General features: G+C 40.4%; 1 long non-coding RNA gene across 1 annotated transcript; it reads left to right on the forward strand.

Moving 5' to 3' along the window:
* Window positions 1–3,260: 3,260 nt before the first annotated feature.
* LINC02805 (long intergenic non-protein coding RNA 2805) lies at window positions 3,261–3,964 on the forward strand. Its single transcript, NR_135559.1, has 2 exons — window positions 3,261–3,543; window positions 3,693–3,964. It is a non-coding gene; the product is annotated as a long intergenic non-protein coding RNA 2805 (long non-coding RNA).
* Window positions 3,965–25,932: the final 21,968 nt, after the last annotated feature.

Here is a 25,932-nt window from a genome sequence, read left to right on the forward strand (position 1 = left end):
GCGTGAGAGGTTCTGTGGCACAAAAGGAAGATAGGCATTCAAAGAACACCAGGATAGAAGAGCCGCAGTAGGCCGGGCGCGGAGGCTCACGCCTGTAATCCCAGCACTTTGGGAGGCCGAGGCGGGCGGATCAAGAGGCCAGGAGATCGAGACCATCCTGGCTAACAGGGTGAAACCCCGTCTCAACTAAAAATACAAAAAATTAGCCGGGCGTGGTGGCACGCGCCTGTAGTCCCAGCTATTCGGGAGGCTGAGGCAGGAGAATCGCTTCAACCCGGGAGGCGGAGGTTGCAGTAAGCCGAGATCGCGCCACTGCACTCCAGCCTGGGCGACAGAGCGAGATTCGGTCCCCAAAGAGAAGAAGAAGACCCGCAGTAGGAGGAAGAGAGAGGAAGTGGAGTCGGCCAGCTGGGATGCTGGAAGCCACTGGATAGCTCAGGCTGAGAGAGGGCGCTGTGCTCCGCAAGCCTCCCTGCAACCGCAGGCCTCGGGCCGCCTTCCTCCAGGAAGACGCTCCAGACTTCTGGTATCCGTTGAGATCTAGTTTCCCTTGAGACGCTGCAAAGCGCATCGTCCTTGAGCATTTCTCCTCTCCCCAAGACCCTCCGAAGGAAGGATGAGCGGACGGAAGATTCACACCGAAGTGGTCGAGCGCCCAGATCCCCGGCTTCCCCGGGAGCATTTCCCAAGTTTCTTTCATGGGTAAGAGTGGGCCCGGCAGGATAATGCCTCCGGTTCTATGAGGAGCAGTGGGGGAGATGCCCACGTGGCCACCTCTGTGGGCTACACGACCCAGGCCTTCCAGGAGGAGCGAGGAGTCCTGGGCCCGGGTCAGCGGTGCCAAAAGAAGCAGCAAGGCAAGGGGTCCCCTCCTACCTCAGGATCTCTGTCCTACTGGGGTTAGGAGACGTTCATCCAACTCCCTCTCCAAGTGTTGGAGAGGAGGCTAGGTCTTTCCCACGAGCTGGGGAGGAAGAGGTGGCAGAGGCGGAAGAGGAAGCCGGCTGAGATGTGTGAAGCAGCTCTGGCTATAACCGGTAGGGAGAGGGCGCGCGGGACCCAGGAGCCTCCGTGCGGAGCCAGGCCTCAGGAGCAGCCGCCTTGCTCCTGGAAGGGGTGCCTCCCTCCATCTTCTGTCCAAAGACTGTAGGGAGACCTTCTCGCCTGGTGGGAAAGCGACGTCTCCCATGCTTTCCCACCACGCAGGCCTTGTGTCCCTTTTCCTGCTAGTGTCTGACCGCCAGCCTGCGGGGGCTGCGGCTGCCGCGGTTCTACGCTGGGTGGAGGCTGCCCGCCCGCTAGCCAAGAGCCGCGCTAGGAGGCAAGAGTCGGGAAGTCGTGTGCAGGCCGGGAGGAGTCCCAAGCTCTGGGTCAGGGCTTTTTTTGCCAATAGCCAAATTCAACGTGTAAAAGACAGAGAGCTCACATCTGTCTGTTCGTGAGCTTCAGTCGGAACAACAAGGAAGGCCCTCAAGATCCCTAGGAGGGTGGCGGAAGGGTCTCTAGCGGCGATATCCGCGTCGGGGGCGGTGAGCCAAGGACTGTCAGGAGCCTGCGTGAACCCAGCCCCCGGGTAGCGCAAACACCACCGCAGACAAGCGCCCCGCGTGTAGGGAAATCGCAGGGGTCAGAGCAGCTGGAGTGTGGTGGACTAGCCTCAACCAGGGAGAGCTCCCTTCTTGACCACGGTCTGTCCCTCGCCAGGTAAGAGGAGACGAGTGTCAGTACAGCCTCCTCTCCCCTAGCCAGACGCTCAGGGTCACCACCTTCCCCTCTGCTCGCCCGTCGCCATTCTTCCAACCACTCGCTGCCAAAGATTCCACCAACAGTCACCCACAGGACAACCCAGGCCTCCTTTCAGCAGAGGCTCCCGCCCCGCAGCCACCGCGCCCTCTCACCCCCGCAGTTCTGCCCGCCGCCTCTGCCCAGTCTGTGCACTTCACCTCCCTCGCTCCCGCTCTCCCCTGAGCTTTACAGTGGACACAGGGTTCGTCCCAACCCTTCTTGGGAGTACTGAATGGAAAAGGGGGAGGGTGCACAATTGCTTGGTAGAGTGTAGACAGACATTGCGGGATTTGACTGTGGTACTATCCCTTTGATGTCCTAGTGATTTTTACACCTGCCTTCTGCTTAGGGCACCGGCCACAGTTTTCCATTAGTGCCTACTCCACCTGCTGTCGTTGTTGGGTAAGCGAACATCGCCCTCCTGTACCACCCAGTCAATAAATGGGCGGTCCTGGAGGACCTCACCCGCCGCTCACCCCCCTCCCAACCTCGCGGCCATCGCCTCCTGTCGCCTCTTCCGAAGGCCTAAGAAGCATGTTAGCTGCGAACTGAGGTGAGGAGGCTCAGCTGACCGCCTGTGTCAGCTGACGACGTGTGCCGCACACAAACGCCACGACTTGGCTTGGCCTCTCTCTCTCTTAGTTATTTGCAGCTCAGCCCAATCGGCGCCTCTGGGATGGCGGAGGCGGCAAAGATGGTGGGCTTCTTGGGTACACCTCCAGGAGAGCTGCCATCTCTGCACGGTGGTGTACACCTGAGCGAGACGCTCAGTCGCTCTCTAAAGCCCCTTCTGCGAATGGTGGACACGGAGATAAATAAGAGGGTGTGTCATGAGAGGCCGTCCACCAGGACTTGCCCTCCTTCGCCAGGGTTTGCACCTTGCAGGGAGACTCTTCTGCCTCTGGCTCTTGGAGCAGGCCGGCTGACAGCGGAGTAAAGAAAGATTACTGCGGGTGGGCAGTCAGTGCAAAACAACTCCCTGACCGGTAATCGAACCCGGGATGCGGTGGTGAAAGGACTGAATCACAGCCACTACACCAGCACGGGGGCACGGGAGAGTCTTTCTCAACCTTATTGCCATTTAAGTGACTGTTTCTGAGTGCGCTGGGAGGACTTGGGCCTTGTGGGGGTCGCTGGTCGCTCCTGGAGTCGTCTCACAAGGCCTTTCCCTCCCTCCTTTCTCCAAAAGAGGAGCCCGCAGGCGACACACCCAGCACTCTGCGAGGCCCACCAAGGCCCTGATTCCCGAGTCCTGGAGCGAGTTGCAGCGCCCTGGCTGCAGCTGACCACTGACCTAGAGATGTGCCTTTGCGAAGTGGCAGCGCATGGAGAAACAGTAGCGGGTCGCTGGGGCCAGAGCCGCCCACCGGGTAGCCAGGAGCAGGCCGGAGCGAGGAGGCTCCCGGGGTGAGACCGGGGCACCCTGAACATCATAAAGGACTCAGACCTTGGCATTCCCGACGTCATAAAGGACTCACACGGATGCGGAAACCGAGACGGGCTGGATGGAAAACTCTTTCCAGACAGACTCCGGGGCCCTCAACTGGTCTCCGACCTTCCCCTGCAACCTGCGACACCTGCCATTTTCCCATCTTAGGCTCCAGAAGCAGAATCAAGTGGGATGTCTTGGAAGAAAAACAAACAAAAGGCCCACTAGGTGGAGTGAAATGGATCAGGAGCAATTATGTTCAATTTCACCTTTAAGTTTTCTCAAAAGGAGGAGCATTAAGAATCAGCCACCTTAGTACATACTTAAAGGTAAATATTACATTTAAGAAAATCCTTGTTATCTTAATGTGGCACTGAGAAAATACTATCAAGTACAGCACGTGGACTAAGTTAGAACATTAAATACACAGGATCTCTTGATAGAATTATCCTCAGACTTTCCAGTTTTAATCTTCTAGATTTACTGAAACCTGATCCTGTCCCCGCTGATGAAACATCAGAGGAATGGGATCCTGTAGGTGAAGATCATCAGCTTATAAAATCCTGTTGCCATCAATGGGGGTAGCAGGAAAATGATGAAGATTGGTTAAGGGGCCAGTGGACTCAGCATTGAAATGAATCATGGACTTGAAGCCAAAAGACTCAGTTTGTGTCCCAGCTCTCTCAAGCAAAGCCCCCAAGTCCCAGTTTCCTCATCTATAAAAAATAATAAAAATACTTAATGGACAAAGTTGTGTGGGAATCAAATGAGATAAAGTATGCGCTGCATATGCCCTAAAGTCTTATTTAAATAAAGGCATTCTTTTCATCTGAGAAATTGAAGAAAAAGATGCCCTGAACAAGAAAGACAGGAGAAAAGATTTTTTTTTTTTTTAATGAAGGATAAAATGATGAAATCCCCCCAGGTATTGCTACAGAAAGGCCTTACCCATGAGCTGTAGGCATATATCCGGTCCTAAGGTCCATTTTGGAGTAGCCCAGCACTCAGTCTGAAAGATTGGACACTGAGAAATATGTGCATCCCATTTTTCTAACTAGCAGCATTTTGATCCTGTCTTATTATCCATACCCAGGCTAGCACACATGATTTTTTCTGCTTGCACTTCAGGAGAAGATAGTCATTGGACAAAAGGTGGGTCATTCTCACGTTGACCAAGTTTCTGTTCCAGTATCACCCTCCCAGGTAGGCCTTTATTCACTCTAAATAGATCACACTGTCTAAAATAGCTACCTTTCCTGCACACAGTCTCTTACTATGCCATTTACTGTCAAAGCTCTTCTCACTCCCTGATATGATTTTGCATGTTGATTTGCTTGTTCATTGCATGTTCCCTCACTACAATGTAAATGTCTTGCCAGTTTTGATCACTACCATATCCCTAAGGCCTAAGAATGTTCAGTACATACTAGGTGCTCAATAAGTACCTTTTTTTTTTATAAGTGAATGAATGAATTCTATTTTTGTCTTATTCCATTGACATTTTCCTGTCTTAGCTGCCTTGGACAGCTCTGAAAGTTCTTCTGCTATTTTGTACACTATTGTCTTTCTCTGTCATTTGAATCTTTTCCTTACTTAGTTTGGGTTCCTCCAATAGTAGAGCTTGAGACAAAGGTTTGGATACCAGTAGTGTATTTAGAAGGTGATCCGAGGATTGGAGAGAACAGGGAGAGTAAGAAGAGAAACAAAGAAGAACCAACAAAAAAGTGCCTTACCTGGGTTGCTGATGTGGGCAGCAGGCACTCAATTTCATCTGGGTTTCCTGAGAGATGTGCAGAATACCTCCCAAAATACAGAAGATGGAACATTAATTCACACAAACTGAAAAGTTTGAAAAAAAAATTAGTCTTTGCCCTTGAGAAAACTTTACTCTGAGTGAAAATGAAAACAAGAAATGCTTGTGACTTATTCATTGTATCAAAGGGAATTAAATTTTATTGAGTACCAAACATGAGCCAGGGACTGTACCTGGCAAATTATATATATTGTCTTATTTCATTATGGCAACAGGAGCTGCCATGTATCAGGCAGCTACAATTTAACCAGGTTCTTCACATGCATGCTCTCACCAGTTCTTACAACTAGTCAATATGAGTTTTTATTTCCATTTAAGAGATGAGAAAAGTTGAGACTTGGGGAAAAGAAATAGCTTGGCCTAGGTAACACCATCAATTCATAGCAGATCTTTCTGACTCTATAGCTTGTCCTATAGAGAAACAATTACATGTAAGGAAAATAAAAGGCAATATAAATTTAAGTGAGTGACTACATGACACTTTCTTGTGAAGAGTTATAAGAATTCAGAGAACGCAATGTGCAACATGAGGACCATGGTCAATAATATTATATTGCACACTGGAAATTTGCTAAGATAGTAGATTTTAGGTACTTGTACTGTAAAAAAAGAAAGGTAACTATGTGAGATGGTGAATATGTTAACTTGCTTGACTGTAGTAATCATTTCACTATACATACGTATATCAAAACATCATGTTGTATACTTTAAATTTATATGATATAATAATATAAAAAAATAGAATTCAGAGAAGTGAATGACTGTTGTGAGCTACATTTAAATTTAACAAGATTTTATTAAGAAAATTAGGTTTTTTAAAATTTTTAAGAGAAAAGTGGGGAGGAGAAAATGGATTCCTCTAGGCCAAGGAAACAGCTGGAGAGAAAGGCATGAAGATGAGGTAACTGGCTTCATGGAACCTGAATTATTTTTCATCAAAGAGCTCAACCCCCCATATTATCTTTCATAAATAAGTAGTGTGCCATGGAATTATGGAACATGAAAGGTATGGATTTAGAACATGATCTAGGTTAAAGAAAAAAGAGGAAGAAAACTAAAAGAAAGAAGAAAATCCAGATTGTTGGGATGATTCTGAGGCCCTAGAACCTTAGAAACTCTAAACTCTTTCAAAGTGTATTTGAAGAGACATATATTCAGTGTGTGCAGTCTGACAACAGTGGAATGCCAATAACATTTAATTTCCTGGACTTCTAAACTTCTTAACCTGTTGTGCTGCTGGAATGGGACTGTAAATCAAAATATGCTAAATTGTATGGGGAACATGTGTATTTAGTCATTCCAAACTGCCCAGTGATTTTTTAAAACACTCCTCACAATAGTATTTATGCTGGTCTTGTTTTTCATAAGTCTTTCTTCTCAACCATGCTGCAACTGGTTAATATAGGCATCAAACACAGCACACAAGAAGGAAGAATGCAGAAAAGAAATTCAGAAATGGATGAGAAAGGCCAAAGTATCCCTGACATCTCTCCCATCCCAACTGTTCTAAATGTTCTTCCATTTTCAAACACTACAACAACAACAAAAAATTGGAATATTGCTTTGGGTCTAGTAAATCATTAGCAAATTAAGAACCTGTTTTTAATAACATTTAACTTGTAAATAATGCATTAATTGACTAGCCTGAATGTTAGTTTGAGCATTTGAAACTCTGCTACTAAATTTGTAATGAAAGAAATGTGCTGCAACAGTAGGCTATATGGTGAATATAACAGATTAAATATGACAGTTGATATTTGTGAAAATGGGGTTATAATTAGAGGACACCTGCAGCTCTTTTCCAACCAAAACAACAGAAATTAAACTTGCATAAATTGTGTGTGTGTGTGTGTATTGCATTTTCTATTGGCATGTTTCTTTTGTTATCCTTGAGTCTTGTGTTAGGTTTTATCCCCCGTTTTTCAGGTCATATGTTAAGCAAGCAACAAGTGGCCTTTTGCTGGACACACTTTATTGGATCTCAAAATGACACATTTTTGGGAGGAAAAGAAAAAAAGGACACAGAGATCTTTTTTCCTAGGAGTTAGGAGTTACTAAAATTCATGAGTGATAGCCCAGCATATTATAACTGCTCAGAATTAGAGGAAGCCATGTGAAAAGGAACCAGTAGGGATTTCAGTCTCAACTGCCTTGCCTCCAACTATCAAGTAGGATTTCTCAGACGAAAACATGAAGAATGTGGCACCCTGCCAGCTATACATTATTAAAATTATGCATGGCAGTGAGTCAGGTAGAGAAGTTGCTAGACATAGGGATTAAACCAAAGAGAAACTAAATATTTGCAATGACTAATAATTAACAAAGTGCTGTCATTTCGCTAATTCATTGTTTCTCATTCATTCAACAAATATAGATAAGCACCTTGCAGAGGCTATACTAAACTAGGCCCTGGGATACACAGCTGAATAAGACACAAATCCTATGCCCTCAAAAGGCTGAAAATCTGGTTTGGGAAAATATCTGTAAATCAAAAGAAAGGCAGATCATGCAAGTCAGAGAAAGAGATGAAATACTAAGAAGGAAATCTTGGCACATCTGTCAAATGCAACAGGGAAGTTAAGAAAGATAAAGACAGAAGCATTTCTGTTGAATTTGTCAATCAAAGTTCATTAGTGACCTTGGCAGAAACTATTTTAGTGGAGTGTTGGGAACAGAAACCAGATTACAGTGAGCTACAGGATGAATAAGAAAGAGAATGTAGAAAAGTGAGTGTAGACTGCTCTTTTCAGAAGTCTGACTATGAGAGACTAGAGACAGAGAAAGAGAGTGAGGAAGTTGGGGGTGGTGGGGGAGAGAAAGTATGTAAAGAGTTGGTTTTCAAAGGCCTGAGCAAGTTGCGTATGCTGAGTAGTGGTCACAGCCGTTGCACACAGAGAATCTTGGCATATTAACATACATGAGTGCACATCAGTTATACATTTTTTCCCTATCAGAAGTTGAAATTCCCTTTTAATATTCCAAGTATTAAATTCTCATTTAATATGCTAATTAGCCTGCATTTTACAACAGATTGTATTAGAGCCTGGATACACATCCAACTCGATTCCATGTATGGAGCCGTAGTTGATTTGGTCAATAACTTGCATTGTTCTGCATGAGAACTTCCACAATTTGCTACCTCATTCTAATAGGGTTTGCTTGAATTATATGAAATCACCACCTTTATTGGTCAAAACCAGCTGAATATTGGCAATTTCATGTGGTTCAACCTAATAGTCTGCAGGGGTCTGGGGAGATCATAGCATGTGAATATAATGTTGAATGAGACATAGGAAGAAAGAAACAAGATAGCTGGGACAAAGGGTATTGAATGAGTAGAAAAAAAGTAGTAATCTTTTTGTTTGGGTTAGGTGTGTGTTCCCAAGGGAAATAATTTTTGAGCATGTAGCTTGAAAGTAATAATACCACTTTTAGGTAGTACAAATGGCTCAGGGGATCAATTGGGATTTAGGGAGCGGGGCTTTTACCTGCAATCTGTCCAATTTAGTCAGACTAACTTGCAATTTTTACACTGTTAAACATCTTATAAATCTGAGACCAACAGATCAAAGAAAAGCTCTTTCAATTGAGTGTCTGGGTAACTTGTGGCAAATTTTTTATCCCCGTTGTAATGTGATTCCTCCATCTCTAAAGTGAAGGCATGGATTACCCACTCATTCTCAATCCAATGTGAAAGGTCCAGAATTCTGTGTCAGAGTTAAGAGAGTCCTGGTGCAGTCAGCAAGGGAAAGTAATTTTTCCAAACTGCCTGTGCTAAAAATAAACCCAGGGTAGTCTCAGGGGAGAGCTACCCAGTCCCTTTCACGGACAGTAAATTCACTGTGGTGGGAGGTGAAGATGGACTGAAAACAAATACCTGAAGAAAGAAAAACATCCTAATGCAGGCACCAGTGGTGAGTTGATGGGAACTGAGCTACCACTGGGAATGCATCACCTGAGCATTTTCTCCAGAGCAGAGTTGTTGGACAAATCTATGAGGAGAAATTCCCACAGCAGGGCACAATCTGGGCTCTGGCTAAGTTCTTGGAATGTCATTTGTCAGCTGTCAGAATCCTATATTCATAAAGGGAGAGGAAAAGTCTCACTAAAATGCAACTAAAGAACACACAGCAGCAGAACCTGGTCTCTTCTGTGTTAACAGAACAAACATGAAAATAGTTAAGCCAACATACTTGGAATTTGTGTCAATCATGATACTTTCATTGCTCGTCTTGAGTTCTCATGTCTATCATGCCACGGTGAGGCAATCACTCAGAACAACCCATGGCATTTTGCAGAGCACCAAAGAAGAAGAAGTGGTGAATCATGGGCCTGAGACTTGGTTACACAGTGTCTTAGAGAAATATCCCAGCTCCTTCTCAAGCTACAAAATTCCTCCTGCTAGGCCAAGAATAGATATGGAATTTCCTATCATCTCTGAATTTTTTATTACTGAGTTGCAAGCAGAGCTCTTTCTCCTATTGTATTTATATTATCATAAAATTGATCTTGAGTATGTAGAACTTAAGAAAGTCTCCAAAGACAGATCTGGATGGGCCTCTGTCTTCCAGCTTATAAGATGTATTTTGTAAAATTTAGCATAGCTGCTTTTATTATTATAATACCTAAAATGTATGTGATTAAATACATGAACTGCCTCCCTGAAGGTAAGACAGCTTCTAAATTCTAAAGCTAAATAATCTAGCCCACAGGGCCAGACATAAAATTGCACCCAGAAATTCATACCAAATGTCAAGTCACTTTGGGGTTACTCCTGAGGGCTCAATGCTGATCATGGTTAGGAAGAGGTAATTTGCCCCACTGTCTTGCTTGAGGATGATTTTTTACTGCCACACATGGAAAAAGTTGCAGCTAATTATATGATTGTTCCAAATTATGAGTTCTCCTCCCTAAAAGAAGCTTATAATTTCCCATCCCATTGACATCAAGCTTGGTCATGTGACTTGCTTTGGCCATTGAAATGTGAGCAAAAGTGACAATTACCACTTCCCAGTGGAAACTGAGAGCCATCTTGTGGCTCCACAATTGCTCTTCTCCCTCTGCCCAAAGAATGGCATGACCTAAATAGGGACTCAATTTCAGAATGAAGATATGTAGAGCTGCAACTGACCTACAGCCAACCTGTAACAAGAGAGAGAAATAAATCCAGATGGTTGTAAGCCACTGAGAAATGGTGATTGTTTGTTACCAGAGTATAACATAGAAAAAGCTATCCAATACAACAGTAAAACAAACCCATCAGGTACAGGAAGTGGATCTGCTCCCTGAAACCCATAAACGACCACTCTAGCTGTATCTTAGCACAAATAAGGAAGAGGACCAGAAAAGAAAGGAAGAAAGGAGTTAGGGAAAGAAATCTCAATATTTCCCAAGGAAATATTGGTGGTGTTCTAGAAGAAGTGGCTATGTTACAACAGTTGCATCTTAGGACATTTATTCACTTCCAGGCTTTCATCTCCTCTCAGTGCTGCAAGGAATATCCTGCTCTAAGAACACCAGTTTGAAAAGGACTGGCCATAGATGACTTTGGAAGACCAAAGAGTTCTGTATTGACCTCAGTTACGTCCTTAATACTCTCCAGCAAACATACAATATTTCCGTAGTCCATTAACTTTCCTACTCCCCTGAAAACTGTTTCATGCCTACTCCTCCCTTCTCAAACCTCTAAATGCCCCTGTCATCCTCACTCCAAGCTGATTATTTTGCTTCCTAGTTCACTGAGAAAATAACAGCAATCAAAAGAAACTGCACTCAGCCTCCAGCACCACCTCCTTTTCTCCTGCATGTGTGCCCATCTGCTCAACTTTTCCTCCTAGCCATGCTTCTAGTCAAAATCAACCCCTTAGCTTGCTGCTAGATCTTATTTTACTCATCTATTGAAGGACGCTGTTCCAGTGATTTTCTTTTATTTCTTCTACTTTGCCTGTTTTTTCTCTATTTGATCACTCTCACCAACATTCAAACATCTTGTTTTCTCATATTTTTTAAAAGACTCTCTTTACTCCAATTCCTACTAGCGATTCCCCTTTCTCACACTTCCTTAATAGCAACACTCTTTGAAAGAGTGTCCATATCCCCTGTCTCCAATTTCTTTCCTTTTGTTCTCTCTAGACCTCACTCTAATCAGACTTTCACCTGCACCTCTCTACAGACACTGCTCTGATCAAGGTACCAAAACTCCTACTTTGCTAAGCCAGTGGTCATTTCTCAGTCCTCATTTTATGCAAACAATCAGTAGCATTGGACACAATCACTCTCTCCTCTTTGAAACACTTTTTTTCCTCCACTGAGCTTCCAGACTCTCTGCTTGTTCAGTTTTATTACTACTTGTCTAGTCACTTCTTTTTGTTTCCCTCGATGCTTCTTCTCATCTCTGCAGTTTTACTCCCCAGGCTCAGTCCTTGAACCTTTTTTTTTTTTTAATCTATGTTTACTCCATTGGGAAGCTCATCCAATCTCAGAGCTGTAATAAATTGGTACTTCCAGCCTGGCTCTCTCCCCTGAAACTCACACTCATGTCTTTATAAGACATGATACATGCATGGAATGGATACCTAACAGGCATCTAATAGTTGACATGTCTAAACTAAACTCCTAATAGCCTACAGCAGCATCACAAAAACTGCATCTCCCACAGTCTTCCCCATCTCAGCAAGTAGCAACTCTTAGTTCAAGTCAAAACTCCTTGCAGTTTCCTTGAGTCCTCTTTTTTCATACCCCCATTCTAAACATACAAAAAATCCTATTGGTTTTACATTCACAACACATCAAGAATCCCATCACTTCTCATTGCTTCTACTGCTGCCGTTATAGTCTGAGCCACCATCATCTTTTGCCTGGATTAGTGCAGTAGCCTCCTAACTGTTCTCCTCTTTCCGTCTTTGACCTTTTCTAGTCTATTCTCTACACTGTTTTAATGAAGCAATAAAGTTATTTCATTAAAACATGCCAAATGGCACTCTCTCCTCAACATCTCCCCAGAGTCTTCTCTCATGCCTCCTGGTACCCTGCTCCTCATTTATTCCATCCACTCCAGCTATACTGGTTTCCTTGTTATTTTTTGAGAATATAAGACATGCTTCGATGTCAGCACCTTTACATTTGCTGTTTCCTCTCCCTGAAAATGCTTTCATTCTCTCCATGAACTGGAAGCAAAGTCATTATGGCTCACATCTTCCTTCAGATCTTTACTAGTGAAGTCTTCCAAGACTAGCCTACTTGATGTTGCAAACCCCACCCAGCATGCTCTACCCACCTTCCTTACTTTATCTTCCGCTAAGCACTTATGATTGTCTAACATATCATATGTTTGACTTACTTAGATTATTTATTGTCTGTATCCCCCAACCTGGAATGTAAGCTCCATGAGGGAAGGGAGTTTTTATTAACTGCTGTACCCCTAAATACCTAGAATAAGGCCTGGCACATAGGAGTCTCAACAAAGACTTGTTGAAAGAATAAATGAAATGTTTTTGCAAATCACCTTCTTAATGCCTGGAAATGTTGATTTAGTGTTTCATCCCCTTTACTTGGAATAATAAAAGAATATTAAGGTTGCAATGGCTTTAGAGTTAATCTAGTTTAATACTGTCATATGACACAGAAGAAAACTTTGGCCTAGAGGAGGAAATAAGCTTTCTGAGGTTGCATACCTAGCTCCTATCTAATGGCACAGCAGGGCCAGATGCCCTGGCTCCCAGCCCATCTCTCCTCCCACAGTATCAACCACCCCATCCTCCTTCTGGCTTCCATGAGTAAAACTAGCTCCTGCTAATGCCTCTGCTTTTATTTTGTATCTCATCTTTGTTATATCATCTTGATATCTTCATAAATCTGCTTTTATCTCATTTTGCAAGAATATTTGTATAAAAATAAAAAGGGATGATTTCCACAGAATTTAAACAAAACCCCTACAGACTCTACTAAAGGTTTCATTAGATTCTTTAAAGATGCATTATGTATAAATATGCAAAAGATGTGTTAGAATTTAAACTCCAGGAAAAAAAAAATGTTTCAGAAAACATGATTAACATGTTAATAATGGCACCTAACTCTCCAAAAAGTGTGGCAAAGATTCAGTGAGAAAACATACATTGCCTGCCATACATGAAACATGGAGGAAGCGTATGCTATGGCACAGGTTGGTGTGTGTGGGGTGTGAGACTTCTGTGAGTACTAGAGTTCCTACATATCCCTGTTGATGTTACACAATATTGAGACCCAATTTTCTATCTTAATAAAAACATATGTGGTGAATTTGTAATGGTCCAATTTGTCACGGCAATTTATTATTCTACTTCCTAGAGCACTTTAGAGAATACTTTTTAAATACTGATTTAAAAAAAAATAAAAAGAGGCACAACATCTCCCTGAACCAGTAGGTGCCAACAGTTATCATCATCTCCGTTTTGCCTATGATATAAATTAAAGCCTAAAGGTTATTTACCTCAGTTCAAGTGCAGCCAAGCAATGGGAGATATGGAACCAGAAGCTCGAATGTGTAATTCCTAAACCTGAATTAGTTCATTGAGTCAGTCAGCCTTGTAAGCACTAGTAGGCAATTCAAGATGAAAAACTAAACATTATTTTTCTTTCATACTAAAAATTTTTCACTGTTCCCACAGAGAAATAGGGTCTACATCCCATGGCCTTGAATCTGGGTGGTCTCTGTGGCTGTTTGGCCAGTAAAGCCATAGCAAAAGTGAAGCCAGCCCAGATTCCAAGTCTACACCTTATGAAACTGGTAGCTTTCACTTTCTGTCTCTTGGAACACTCTCTCTGGAAACACTTAGTCACTATGTAAGAAGTTCTACTACCCTAAAGCCACCCTACTAGAGAGGCCATGTGTAGACACTCCAGACAACAAGCCCAGCTGAACCCCACTTTCTAGCCAGTGGCAGTCATGTGAGGAAAGCCATCCTGACCCTCCTGACAAGCCGACCCACCAGCTGAAAACCATTGAGTGTCCTCAGTCAATTTGAAATGGAGCGGAAGAATCACCCAGCAGAGGCATGCCCAAATGCCCAAGCAACAAGGTCCTGATATAATAAAATGATTGTTATTTTTAGCCACTAAGTTTTGGAGTAATTTGCTATGCTGCAGTAGATAATAAGAACAGAATTTGATACCTGGAAGTGGAGTGCTGCCATAACTATCTAAAACATGTGGCCATGGTTTTGGAACCAGACAATGAGCAAACGCTGCAAAGATCTTGAGGACACTGTTAATGAGAATAGAAAAACCTGAAGGAGACTTCTAGTGAATACTTAGAGGAAGATACTACAGGAATTACTATTGGAGGCTGGAGAAAAAGTGACCCTGGTTATGAAGTGGCAGAAATTTTGACAATACTGTTGCCTGTTGTGATCTAGACAATAGAATATATACCTAATGAACTGATGGATTTGGCTGGGTTTGGATCTCTGATAGGAATGCCAGAAGTGCCAAATGATTTGTTTTATGCATGTATAATACTGTATAGAAAAAGGTGAGCTTAGAAATGAAATGTTTATTGTAGTTAAATAATTAGTTATATTATTTTGTCATATTACTATGTAATTCCTAGGAAGCAGGACTGAGATGTAATAAAAGAATGTGGACATGTGACCAGTAAGATTTCAGAAATACTACAGACTAGGGACTGCTCTTTGCTTTTCATTCTATTTTTGAATGAGAATGCCAACTGCATTTTTCTTACCTTCATCTCGACATTGTGTTTTGGGGATGGAGGAGCAAATAATGTGTTTCTTTAGTCCACAGGTCGAGAGGAACCATACTTGAAGAAACATACCTGAAGGGTTTCATCCATATGTGGGCCTGATTTGGATGATAAAATCCTGCATCTTGAGCCTGATCTTGATGCTGCCTGTGTTCTGATGCCATCAGGAGTTGAGAGTCTAGGGGTTTTAGAAAGGGTGAATGTATTTTCCCATAGGCAAGGAACATAATCAATGGCCAAAATGTGCACTGTGACAGATTAAAGGTTGCTACAAATTCTCTGATACCCTTCCATTAAGAGGTAGGGCAGATATTCCCTCCCCTCAAATCTGGGTGGGCTCCATGACTTGCTTTGATCAACAGAAAACGGCAGCAGTGATGCTGGGCCAGTTGTTGGATCCAGGCCTTAAGAACCAACAACTTCCACTTAAGTTCTCTTGGAACACTGAGTCCCTGACTACCCTAATATCATGTTGGAAAGGCTACATGTAGGCACTCTAGTTGCCAGTCCCAGCCAAGACCAGCTTTTCAGCCATCCCCATCACTAAATTTGTAAATGAAGCCATCTGGAATCTCCAGACCAGCTCATTTGGCAGCTGGGTATCATCAAGTTATCTCTGCTGACTCCACATGGAACAAAGGAATCACCCAGCTGAGCCCTATTCAAACTATTGACCAAAAAAATAGTGAGACATAATAAAATGATGTTTTAAGCCAGTAAGTTTTAGGATAATCTGTTACATAGCAAGAGATAACCAGGACACTAACTATACATGCATAGAGTAAACAGAGGTAGGCCTACTTTCCACATTGAATTGTGCTTTCTAAAGAGGTGATGATGAATTACCTTTTTGTAAAGGTAATACATTTCAAATGTGCTAAGGATGCTTTCTCTTTTTCTTATCCATAAAACATGCAGACAATAGTCACTCTCTCCTTAGTTCATAAGAATTTTGAGAGGAACAAAGGAGATAATATATGTCAAAGGCATCTGCAAAGCATTTCTCACTAAGCAAATGTAAGACATTATTACTTTTATAGAAATTTAAGTAAAATACAGGGTTTTGTGCAATTTAAATAATCACCTAGTTTCTATCAACTTTGGAAGTTTAGCTAATCACATATCTGATTCTTCTACATACTCAGGTATTCATACACAGGTATAAAATTGCTGTCCAATAAACATAGACTTTCTTCAGTACTAAATTAAAGCAGTGCTTGTTAATAAAAAAATCAGTAATACATTTTAGCACAATGTTGACATGTAACACATATATTTTAACTCAAATATGTAAAGCACAACTGGTATTAGTTAATTCAATCAAGCATGCAACTCTTGAAGGAGGTGGGAGGATGCAGAAAACAGCTAGCTTGAAATGGAAACCACCCCTGTGCTGTCGTTCTGCCTCATCTTGGTTCATGATGTTCTCATCTTTATGCACACTGTGCATAAAGGAGAGAGATAAAGGGGTGTTAAAATACTTTATTCTGTAGCACAGAATAAAGTGTTATGAAAGTACAGAAGTAGACACGTGCATTGTTTCTTGTTAGGAAACCTGAGACTGTGGAAAACTTGCTGAACTTCAGGTTACTGAACTCAAATATAATGTGATGTTTTATGCTTTTAATGATAGTTCTTCCCTCTCAGAAACTTAGCATGTATAGTCTTTGAAAGGTCTTTTCCTATATTTACTATCAAAAAGAAAGCTAAAAGCATATAAACACATGAGCACACGTGCATACAAAAAATTATCCCTTGGTAGCACTGGCAGTGTCTGCTCTTAACTCTAACCTTTCATTTAAATGGACAGTACACAGTGAATTGTCCAGTATCTCGGCTATCATGTCACGCAGTCATCTCTGCATCAGCTCCCCCTATCAATGCCTCTTTGGAGTCGGGCTCCAATCTGCAGAGCAGATAGAATTCCGAAAATCCTGAGCCCCTGTCGCTGTGAGCTTGTTTGCCAAGCACATCACAAGATGAGTGGTGAGATGCTGTTCACATATTGGCCCATTATCCCTTCAATATATGGAGCTTCAAGGATTTTCAGGGCCATATAACTGAAGAGAGTTTACCACCTACCAGAAGAAGGACCAAACTCTGACTGGAGAAATCTTGAAGGTGTAATTAACGTTTGTTTCCATCCCCCTTCAGCCAACACCTTTACTGCACTCACACCTGAGATTCAGGGAAAGTGCTAAAAAACAAAAACTTTTAGTAGAAGCTTCGAAAACATGGGCAAGACAAGACCCAGAATTCATTCTTATTTAGCATGTTGGACTGACTAAGTACATAAAAAGCAGCAGAAGTATTGAGAGCTTACCAGGTATCCTCAAAACAACCCTAAAACTAGATTATCCTCCTCATCCTACAAATGAGGAAACCAAGGAATAGGGAAATTGAGGAGCCCACTCAAGGTCACATGTCTGTCATTTATTGAAAGGAAAGAAACATCCAGCTCCTTGGACTTCAAACCTGAGCCATGTGCCTGGCCACTGAATTATACTGGGTTCTGGGTGAGGATGAGGGCAATAATGACAGCTGTCATTTATTGAAAGACAGCATAAGAGAGGAGAATCTGAGAAATTTAAGATAGGCAGAGCTCCAGTCTCAATTTCCAAATACCTCCATGACCCCAGGCAGGTTACTGAACATAGCTGAGTGTCAAGTTTTCATTTTAAGATGGGAATAATTACAACACTCACTTGTGGGGTTGGTGTGAGTTTTAATAATCTGTCAAGTGGCTGGCATTTAATAAGCACAAGAGATTAATTATTAGTAGTTACTATGTGCCAGGCACCATTCATGTATTCATGTTTCATTTAACCTAACAATAACCATAAAAGGAAAATATTATACCTATTTTACAGATATGTAAACTGAGGCCTAGGATTGCCTAGAATCACATAGTTAAGTCAGGATTTGATCCCAGGCCTATGATTCCAAAACCGGTGTTAGTTACACACCGTTATTTGGCCTCTCTCAATACACGAGCTTATGTCAACCTGTGCCACAAATGACTTTTTCAATAATCAGTTAACATGTGTCAGCTACTAATGTGGTGAGGCTGTATTGTTGAGTTAACCTATTGCTTTTCAAATTCTATTTTATGCTCTAATGCTCAGGAGAAAAAGACATTTAACTTATATGTAACTTATCTCTCTTGGGAAAATTATTGAATTTATAAATGGTAGCACTTTAAGAAAATATCAAAGATAGCTTAATTTCGAGAAAATGAGTCTGGACTAAGAATCAGGACACTTGGCTTTTGTTTTCCTTTGCTTTTCACAATTCTCCACTGACTAGCTATGTGCACTTAGACATGTCCCTTAACCTACAAATACCTCTACTTCGTTTCCATGAAGAGAGACATGAGCTTGAAGGGTATCTTCTGATTCTAAGTTGTTACTATTTAGTGCCTGCGACACATATGCACATATGCACACGCAGAATTCAAGAGCCTCTAGAGCAGTAGTTTTTCTCACTATCCAACAACATCGTTGTTGCTTAAAGAGCTGTTTCAAAGCTCAGATTTTGGGAACCTTCAGAATCTGACTTGGTTAATCAGGTTGAAGCTGGAGGATCTATATTTTGTGAACACTTCCCAGCTTCTTCAGGAGAGAAGTTAGGCCTGGTAATCACTGCTTCAGACCACTTTGCGGGTTTGGCAAAATAACCATGCCCTGAAACCACGAGGATGACCGAAGCCTGCCTCACGACCTCTGTTCCATGGAGTAAGTTCATTGATAAGGCAGAGCTGTAACGCACCAAGTTTGCATTTCTTGGCCATATATTATTACACGGTGTGTAGGTGGAAAAAAAAATTTACAGATTATTTTCCTGTAGAAAAGGGAATGCTGCCAGGGGCGGTGGCTCAGGCCTGTAATCCCAGCACTTTGGGAGGCCGAGGCGGGAGGATCACGAGGTCAGGAGATCGAGACCATCTTGGCTAACACGGTGAAACCCCGTCTCTACTAAAAATACAAAAAATTAGCCGGGCGTGGTGGCGGGCACCTGTAGTCCCAGCTACTCGGGAGGCTGAGGCAGGAGAATGGCGTGAACCCAGGAGGCGGATCTTGCAGTGAGCAGAGATCGCGCCACTGCACTCCAGCCTGGGCGACAGAGCAAGACTCCGTCTCAAAAAAAAAAAAAAAAAGAAGGAAAGAAAAGAAAAGGGAATGCTGTCCTGATGGCATCAATTTTAAAACTGGAGTAAAACTCTAGAAAGCAGTAGAATTAACCTACTTATTAGTGGCATCCCTAGTATGGATAATTACATTCAACTTGAGAATCACCCAAAGTCGAGAAAAAGCATGATCAATAAGGCCCAAATACATGATCAGTACATGAACACCAAACTTGTATTCTAGTAGATAGATTTAGTGAGCTGGGATCATGACATGATACCTAAACAGGTAATAAAATTGAACATGAGGGGCAAAATGTATTGAAGAGAGTCCAAAGACAAAAACAGTAATATATCTATATGAAGAAATGAGTTATAGCTATTTACCACTGTCAAACCCACCTGAAGTCAGTGTAGAAGGGATGCCACCAGTCAGAAAGGAATGGGTCATATTTTAAAGCATTAAAGCATGAATATCACCCAGACCATCATAGTAAACATGTATGTATCAAAGGACCAATGATACCATGTGTAAAGGGCTGAAGGTTATGTAGGCACAGTCCAGTGTCAACATTTCTAAAACTTAAGGATTATGCAAGCCAGCAAGTAAATGCACAAAAATCATTTGCCAATTTAAAGAGAAATTCTGTGTGTGAACCTCAGTAATTATTTTTCAAGTGCTATTTTCAAAATGGAGCTAACAACTCTGTCTACAGAATGTTTGACAATTATTAAATTATAATCTACAACCACACTCAACTCCTTGGCAGAAAAAGACATGTGAGGAAAGGGGTGAAATGGATGAGAGCAATATAGTCCTTAAAAACACCTGGACACCCTCCCATATAAGCTTCAGAAATCACAAGGATCAGGCATTCTTCGAGATCTAATCTCAAAACTTCATCAGGTGTTTATTATGTACTGTTAAGAAAAAAGCTTAATGACAAACTGAATCCTACATAGATGACTAGCTGCCTGATTGCTCTGCCCAGAGGGTCATAGGAAACATAGGGATCAAAGGGTGTATCCATGTTCATGGAAGCTGAACTCCAGTTTCACTGTCTTCTGCTTCCCTTAGGTACATTTTATTAAGTCTTCTGGGCTGAATTTGGAAATCCTTGATGTTGGAAGAAAAGCTGACCTATTTCCTTATGCTGGAGCTTTTCTGAGCTGATGTTCCTCCAAAATTACATTTTTAGACTAAAAGATAACTAACCAGCATCTTGATTTCAATCAGGAAACAATAAAATATGATGCTATTTGGGTTATTTTCTTATCTTATTATTTGTTGGCTGGGTATTCACTTAAACCAGCCTGCCCTATATGTTAAATATCAACCTAAGTCTAAAATATTTTACCAGATGTCTTCTTAGTAAAACTCAATAAAAGTGAACAGAAGGAAAATCCAGAGCACAGGACCAGCCAAATAACCCAAATAGACTCAACCTAAGTCCTCTTCTTAGACTCATTATCACATTACAGTATCTCTTCACCAACACCAAACCCCTTCTGAGGTGACAGAGGGAGGCAAGAAAAGTTTGTGTTTTGTGTTATATTTATTTCCTTTGAAGTCATAAGCCACATATCATCTCCTTTTCAAAATCAAATACTCCTGACTTCCTCCATCATTCCTTTCTCTAATGTTCAGAGGGCTCTTCGTCTATCCCCATCTTCCGTAACCCCAGATAAACTTAAGCTTGTTCACTGTCTCAACTGTCGCTCATAAAATATATAATAGAGTAGAAAGAGTACTGTTTGGGCAGGAGATCTGAGTTCTAGGTCTAATCCTGCCACTTGCTAGTTTTGGGACCTACAACAAGTCTTAAACTATTCAAGGCTTCAGTGGCTTTATTACTGTAATAATGCATTTGGAAGGGTTGCTATTGAGGATCTAAAATTTTCTAGCTACATTTTCTATAATTGTAGCACTATTGGCTAGCTCCTGAAATTAAGCAAAGATCTCAGGGTTGTCCTATGGCAAATACCTGAAAATGAAATTATTTTTTATGAGCACAGATAATTTTTAAAAAAGCTGATATATGCTAATTTTATTATTTAACAAAGTAAGAAGTCAAGAGATTGTTTCATTCTTGGCACGATTCGAGAAATGTGGGATTATGTATGTTAATTAAAATTTTATGTAAATACAAACACTCCAATCATCATAAGAGGAAAAAGAACAAAGAAAGCCTAGTTCATATATCAAAAGAAAGAAAAAAGGCAGCCACAAAGAAGCAGAGACAGAGAGACAGAGAAAGCATAAAAAAAGATTAAAAAGGATGATATGAGTTAAAAAGCTTCTGCACAGCAAAGGATACAATCAACACAGTGAAGAGACAACTCATAGAATGGGAGTAAATATTTGCAAACTACCTCCTCTAACAAGGGATTAATCACCAGAATATATAAGGATCTCAAACAACTCCATAGGAAAAAATCCGATAATCCAATCAAAAATGGGCAAAAGATTTTAATAGACATTTCTCAAAAGAAGACATACAAATAAATGGCAAACAGGCATATGAAAGGTGCTCAACGTCATTGGTGATCAGAGATGCAAATCAAAACTGCAATGAGATATCAACCCACCTCAGTTAAAATGGCTTATATCCAAAAGACAGGCAATAACAAACGCTGGCAATGATGTGGAGTAAAGGGAATCATCATACACTGTTGGTGGGAACGTAAATTAATACAACCACTATGTAGAACAGTTTGGAGGTTCCTCAAAAAACTAAAAATTGAGCTATCATACAATCCAGCAATTCCACTGTTGGTTACATAACCAAAAGAAAGGAAATCAGTACATTGAAGAGATATCTGCATTCCTGTTTGTTATAGCACTGTTTACAATAGCTAGAATTTGGAAGCCACCTAAGTGTCCATCAGCAGATGAACGGGTGAAGAAAATGTGGTACTTATACAAAATGGAGTACTATTCAGCCATAAAAAAGAATGAGATCCAGTCATTTCCAACAACATGGGTGGAACTTGAAGTCATTATGCTAAGTGAAATAAGCCAGGCACAGAAAGACAAACAGTGCATGTTCTCACTTTTTTGTGGGATCTAAAAATCAAATCAGTTGAGGTCATGGACATAGAAAGTAGAAGAATGCTTACTAGAGGTTGGGAAATATAGTTGGGGGTTGGGAGGCTGGTGGAGATGTGTAATGGGTACAAAAAAATATAGAAAGAATAAATATGACCTATTATTTGATAGTACAATAGGGTAACTGTAGTCAATAATAATTTAGTTGTATATTTTTTAATAACTTAAAGAATGTAATTGGATTGCTTGAAACCCAAAGGATCAGTGCCTGAGGCGATGGATACCCCATTCCCCTTGATGTGCATATTTCACATTGCATGCTGTATCAAAACACCTCATGTACCCCATAAATATATATACCTACTATGTACCCACAAAAATTTGTTTTAATAATTTAAAAAACTCTTTTAAGATTAAAAAATAAAAGCAAAAATATTAGTTATGAAAATGAATATAAATATATTAAAGTTATTTATTAAAAGATCAAGGTTCTTAAACTAGGTTAGAAAAAACTCCAGCTATATACTGGATTAAAAAATATATGTATAAATTAAAAGTGAAAAGATTAGCAAAGATCTACCAGGTTTATGTAAATAAAAATATGGTAAAAAGGCTTAGGTAAATAAAAAGGCAAAGTGTAGGCAAAATTCACTAGATAAAACAAGGAATGTAAATTTAGAATGCCAAAAAAGTTAGACTTCACAATAAAAGTATAAGAGGTAGAAACCATTATGTACTTAGAAACTAGTATTAAACTACATAGCTCTTCAATGTACTGGCAGAAATAGGTATATACACAATTGGAGTCTTCAAACAGTGTTTTCATTCCTTGATAAATCAAGTAGGACTAAAATAAAACAGATTTAGTTAATGATTTTTAGTCTAATTGTTGTAATTTAAGTTTTACACTTACATGAGTACATATACTTTTCAAACATCTCTGGAGTATTTTTGGAAGTTAATGGTGTAATAGAACAAAATTATAATTTTTATAAAATCCCACAAAGGAAAAGTACACAGCCCACATTCTAAATGTTTATTCTAAAATAAACTAGAAAATAGTACCAAGAATTTAAAATAGGAAAGTGTTTATTTGTAAATTAGAAAACATATACATAAATAACTATTGGACTAAAGAAAAGAACAATTATGATTATAGATTATTCAAAAAATAATAATGATTAGAAGATTACATATCAAATCTTACAAGATAGAACTAAAACTATCAGTAGGAAAAGCAGATTTATGTGCTTGCTTTATTAGAGCATGAGTAACATAAAATAATTAAGCTGAATTAAATTTAAGAAGTTAAAAGATGAAGTTAGCTTTTGAAGCCAAAAAAAAACCAGCAAAAATAAAAGCAAAGATTAATGAAAGCAAACACTAAAAATTATAGTGTTCTGGCAAATTCTGGAAAGTCCAGAAAAAAGAGAGAGAGAGCCACAGAAAGAGAGAGAGAGAGTTCACAAAAACAAATAAATGAGAAATGAGTTATAACTATAGATATGAGAGACTCTTAAATGATAAGACAATTTTATATGCAGTTAAGTTTTTTTAATTCACTTATGTTCTGAGAAAATATAAATAGCTAAGATTAACTTGATAAGTAGTAAATCTGGATAGGCTTTTGTCAATAGAAAAAAAGTTGAAAAAATAATTAATTCCAATAAAGTTTCTAAGTGAAAACCATTTTACTAGTCTTTGCAATTTTTTTTTTTTTTTTAAACAGGGTCTCACTTTGTTATGCAGGCTGGAGTGCAGTGGCATTATCTCAGCTCACTGCAAACTCTGCCTCCCGGGTTCAAGTGATCTCCTTCGTCAGTCTCCCGGGTAGCTGGGATTACAGGCACGCACCAGCATGCTCAGCTAATTTTTGTAGTTTTAGTAGACACAGGGTTTCACCGTGTAGCCCAGGCTGGTCTTGAACTCCTGGACTCAAGCCATCAGCCCTCAAGTGATCCTCCCACCTCCACCTCCCAAAGTGCTGGGATTACAAGTGTGAGCCACCACGCTCAGTCTAAGTCTTTGCAAATTTTAAAGGAATAGTTTGCACATCGTATATACTGTTTCAGTACAGGAAGAGATGGAAAACTTACAAATTCCTTGTAGCATTAGCATAACCATAATAATCTAATGAAGATAGTGTGGAAGAAAAAAATTACAAACCAATACTACTTATGAAGGTTGATGTAAATTCATAAGTAAATTTCTAGAAAACTGAATGTGTTACTTAAACAATAAGAACTGGCTGGATATGGTGGCTCATGCCCATAATCCCAGCATTTTGGCAGGCAGAAGTAGGAGGATCACTTGAGGCCAGGAGTTCAAAACCAACCTCGTCAACATAGCAAGACCCTATCTCTACAAAAATAATTTTTTTAAAATTAGCCAGGCATGGTGGTGCATGCCTGTAGTCCCAGCTGCTCTGGAGGCTGAGGTAGCTGGATCACTTAAGCCCAGAAGTTTGAGACTGCAGTGAGCCATGACCATGCCACTGCACTCCAGTCTGGGCAGCAGAATGAGACCCTGTCTCCAAAAAACAAACAACTGTAAAGGGTCTGACATCTTACCCTACTTGCAAGCTAACAAGTTAGCCTGCCAGTTTCATGTGGCAGAAGAAATGAGACTTTACGGTCAGAGACAAAGGATTTTGTTGCTCTTGGCATACACAGGAAACAGCATAAGCATCAGTATGTTCATCACTGCTCCTGACCCCTCGCCCACCCGTTCTCAGGTGGGCCATGTGATATGGGCCCAGGTGGACACCTGCACATTCAGTGGATTGCATTACAGGAGAGGAAGCCTGAGTTCAGGAAACTCAGATCTTTTAAAATGGGCAATAAACATGTGCCTGCTGCCCGTTGCTCCAGAGGGAGACTTTATGACACTGGATCAGTAAGAATGTTTGTTTGTTGCACCAGGGAGAGACACTATATTTTTAAGTCTGTAAGCAAACCTACCCTTCATTATGGAGGAAAAGCCTCTATCCTTGAAAACATACTCCCAAAGAGCAGTCAGTGCCTGTGCTCACAAGGAGTACAGAAATGTGAGAGACCCATGGAGAATTGTCTCCCGACACATCATTAAATATTATTCTTAAAATGCAAGGATGGTTTAATGTTTGAAAATATAATAAGACAAAGAAAAATAATATAATAAAATTCAACATCTAGTGCTGGTTGTTAAAGAGAAAATATTTTTTACAAATAGACATATTATTTACTTAAATATCTATTCTAAAGCAACAAGAACTGTCATGTTTTACAGTGAAAACCTGTAGGCATTTCCATTAAAATTTAAACAAAATAAGGATGTCCATTATAATTGTTATTTAACACTATTCTGGGAGTTCCAGTCAATAAAATAAAAATGAAACATATGTAAAAATTGTAAACAATGAAAGCCATTATTCTAAATGATATATTTATGCACAGACAACTCAGGAGGATTAAAGGAAAAACTTTAAAATTAATGAGGTCAATAAAGAAACTACAAACTAAATAAAAATACTTTTTAAAAATTGTCCACATTGTCCATATGCCAACAATAACCAGTTGTTTTAAACAATGTGAAATCATAATAACTATTTATATAAGAATCTATTCCCAATAGCCTCCAAACATATAAAATAATAGAAATAACCTGAACAAGAAAGAATGCCACATTCATGAGGACAAATTCAGTACCTGAGACATGCAAGAGAAAATATTTAAGAAGAAATAAATTACAGGTTCCTAGATGGAAAAAAGGAATTCTGTAAAGATATTAAATACTTCCAAACTGAGTTGCAGATGAAACTAGATTCTAACTACATTCCCACTAAGATTTTAGGACAGAGATTTGATAAAATAATTTTTAAATGTATGTGGAAGAATATCACATGATGATAACAAGTTTCTAAAAATAAAGAGTACTAAGGTGGGACTCATCCTTCTAAATATTAAAATATTCCATAAAGCTACAGTAAAAACTTCAACAAACAAATAAAAAC

Source organism: Homo sapiens, chromosome 1 (assembly GCF_000001405.40).
Source record: "Homo sapiens chromosome 1, GRCh38.p14 Primary Assembly".
Lineage (NCBI taxonomy): Eukaryota > Metazoa > Chordata > Mammalia > Primates > Hominidae > Homo > Homo sapiens.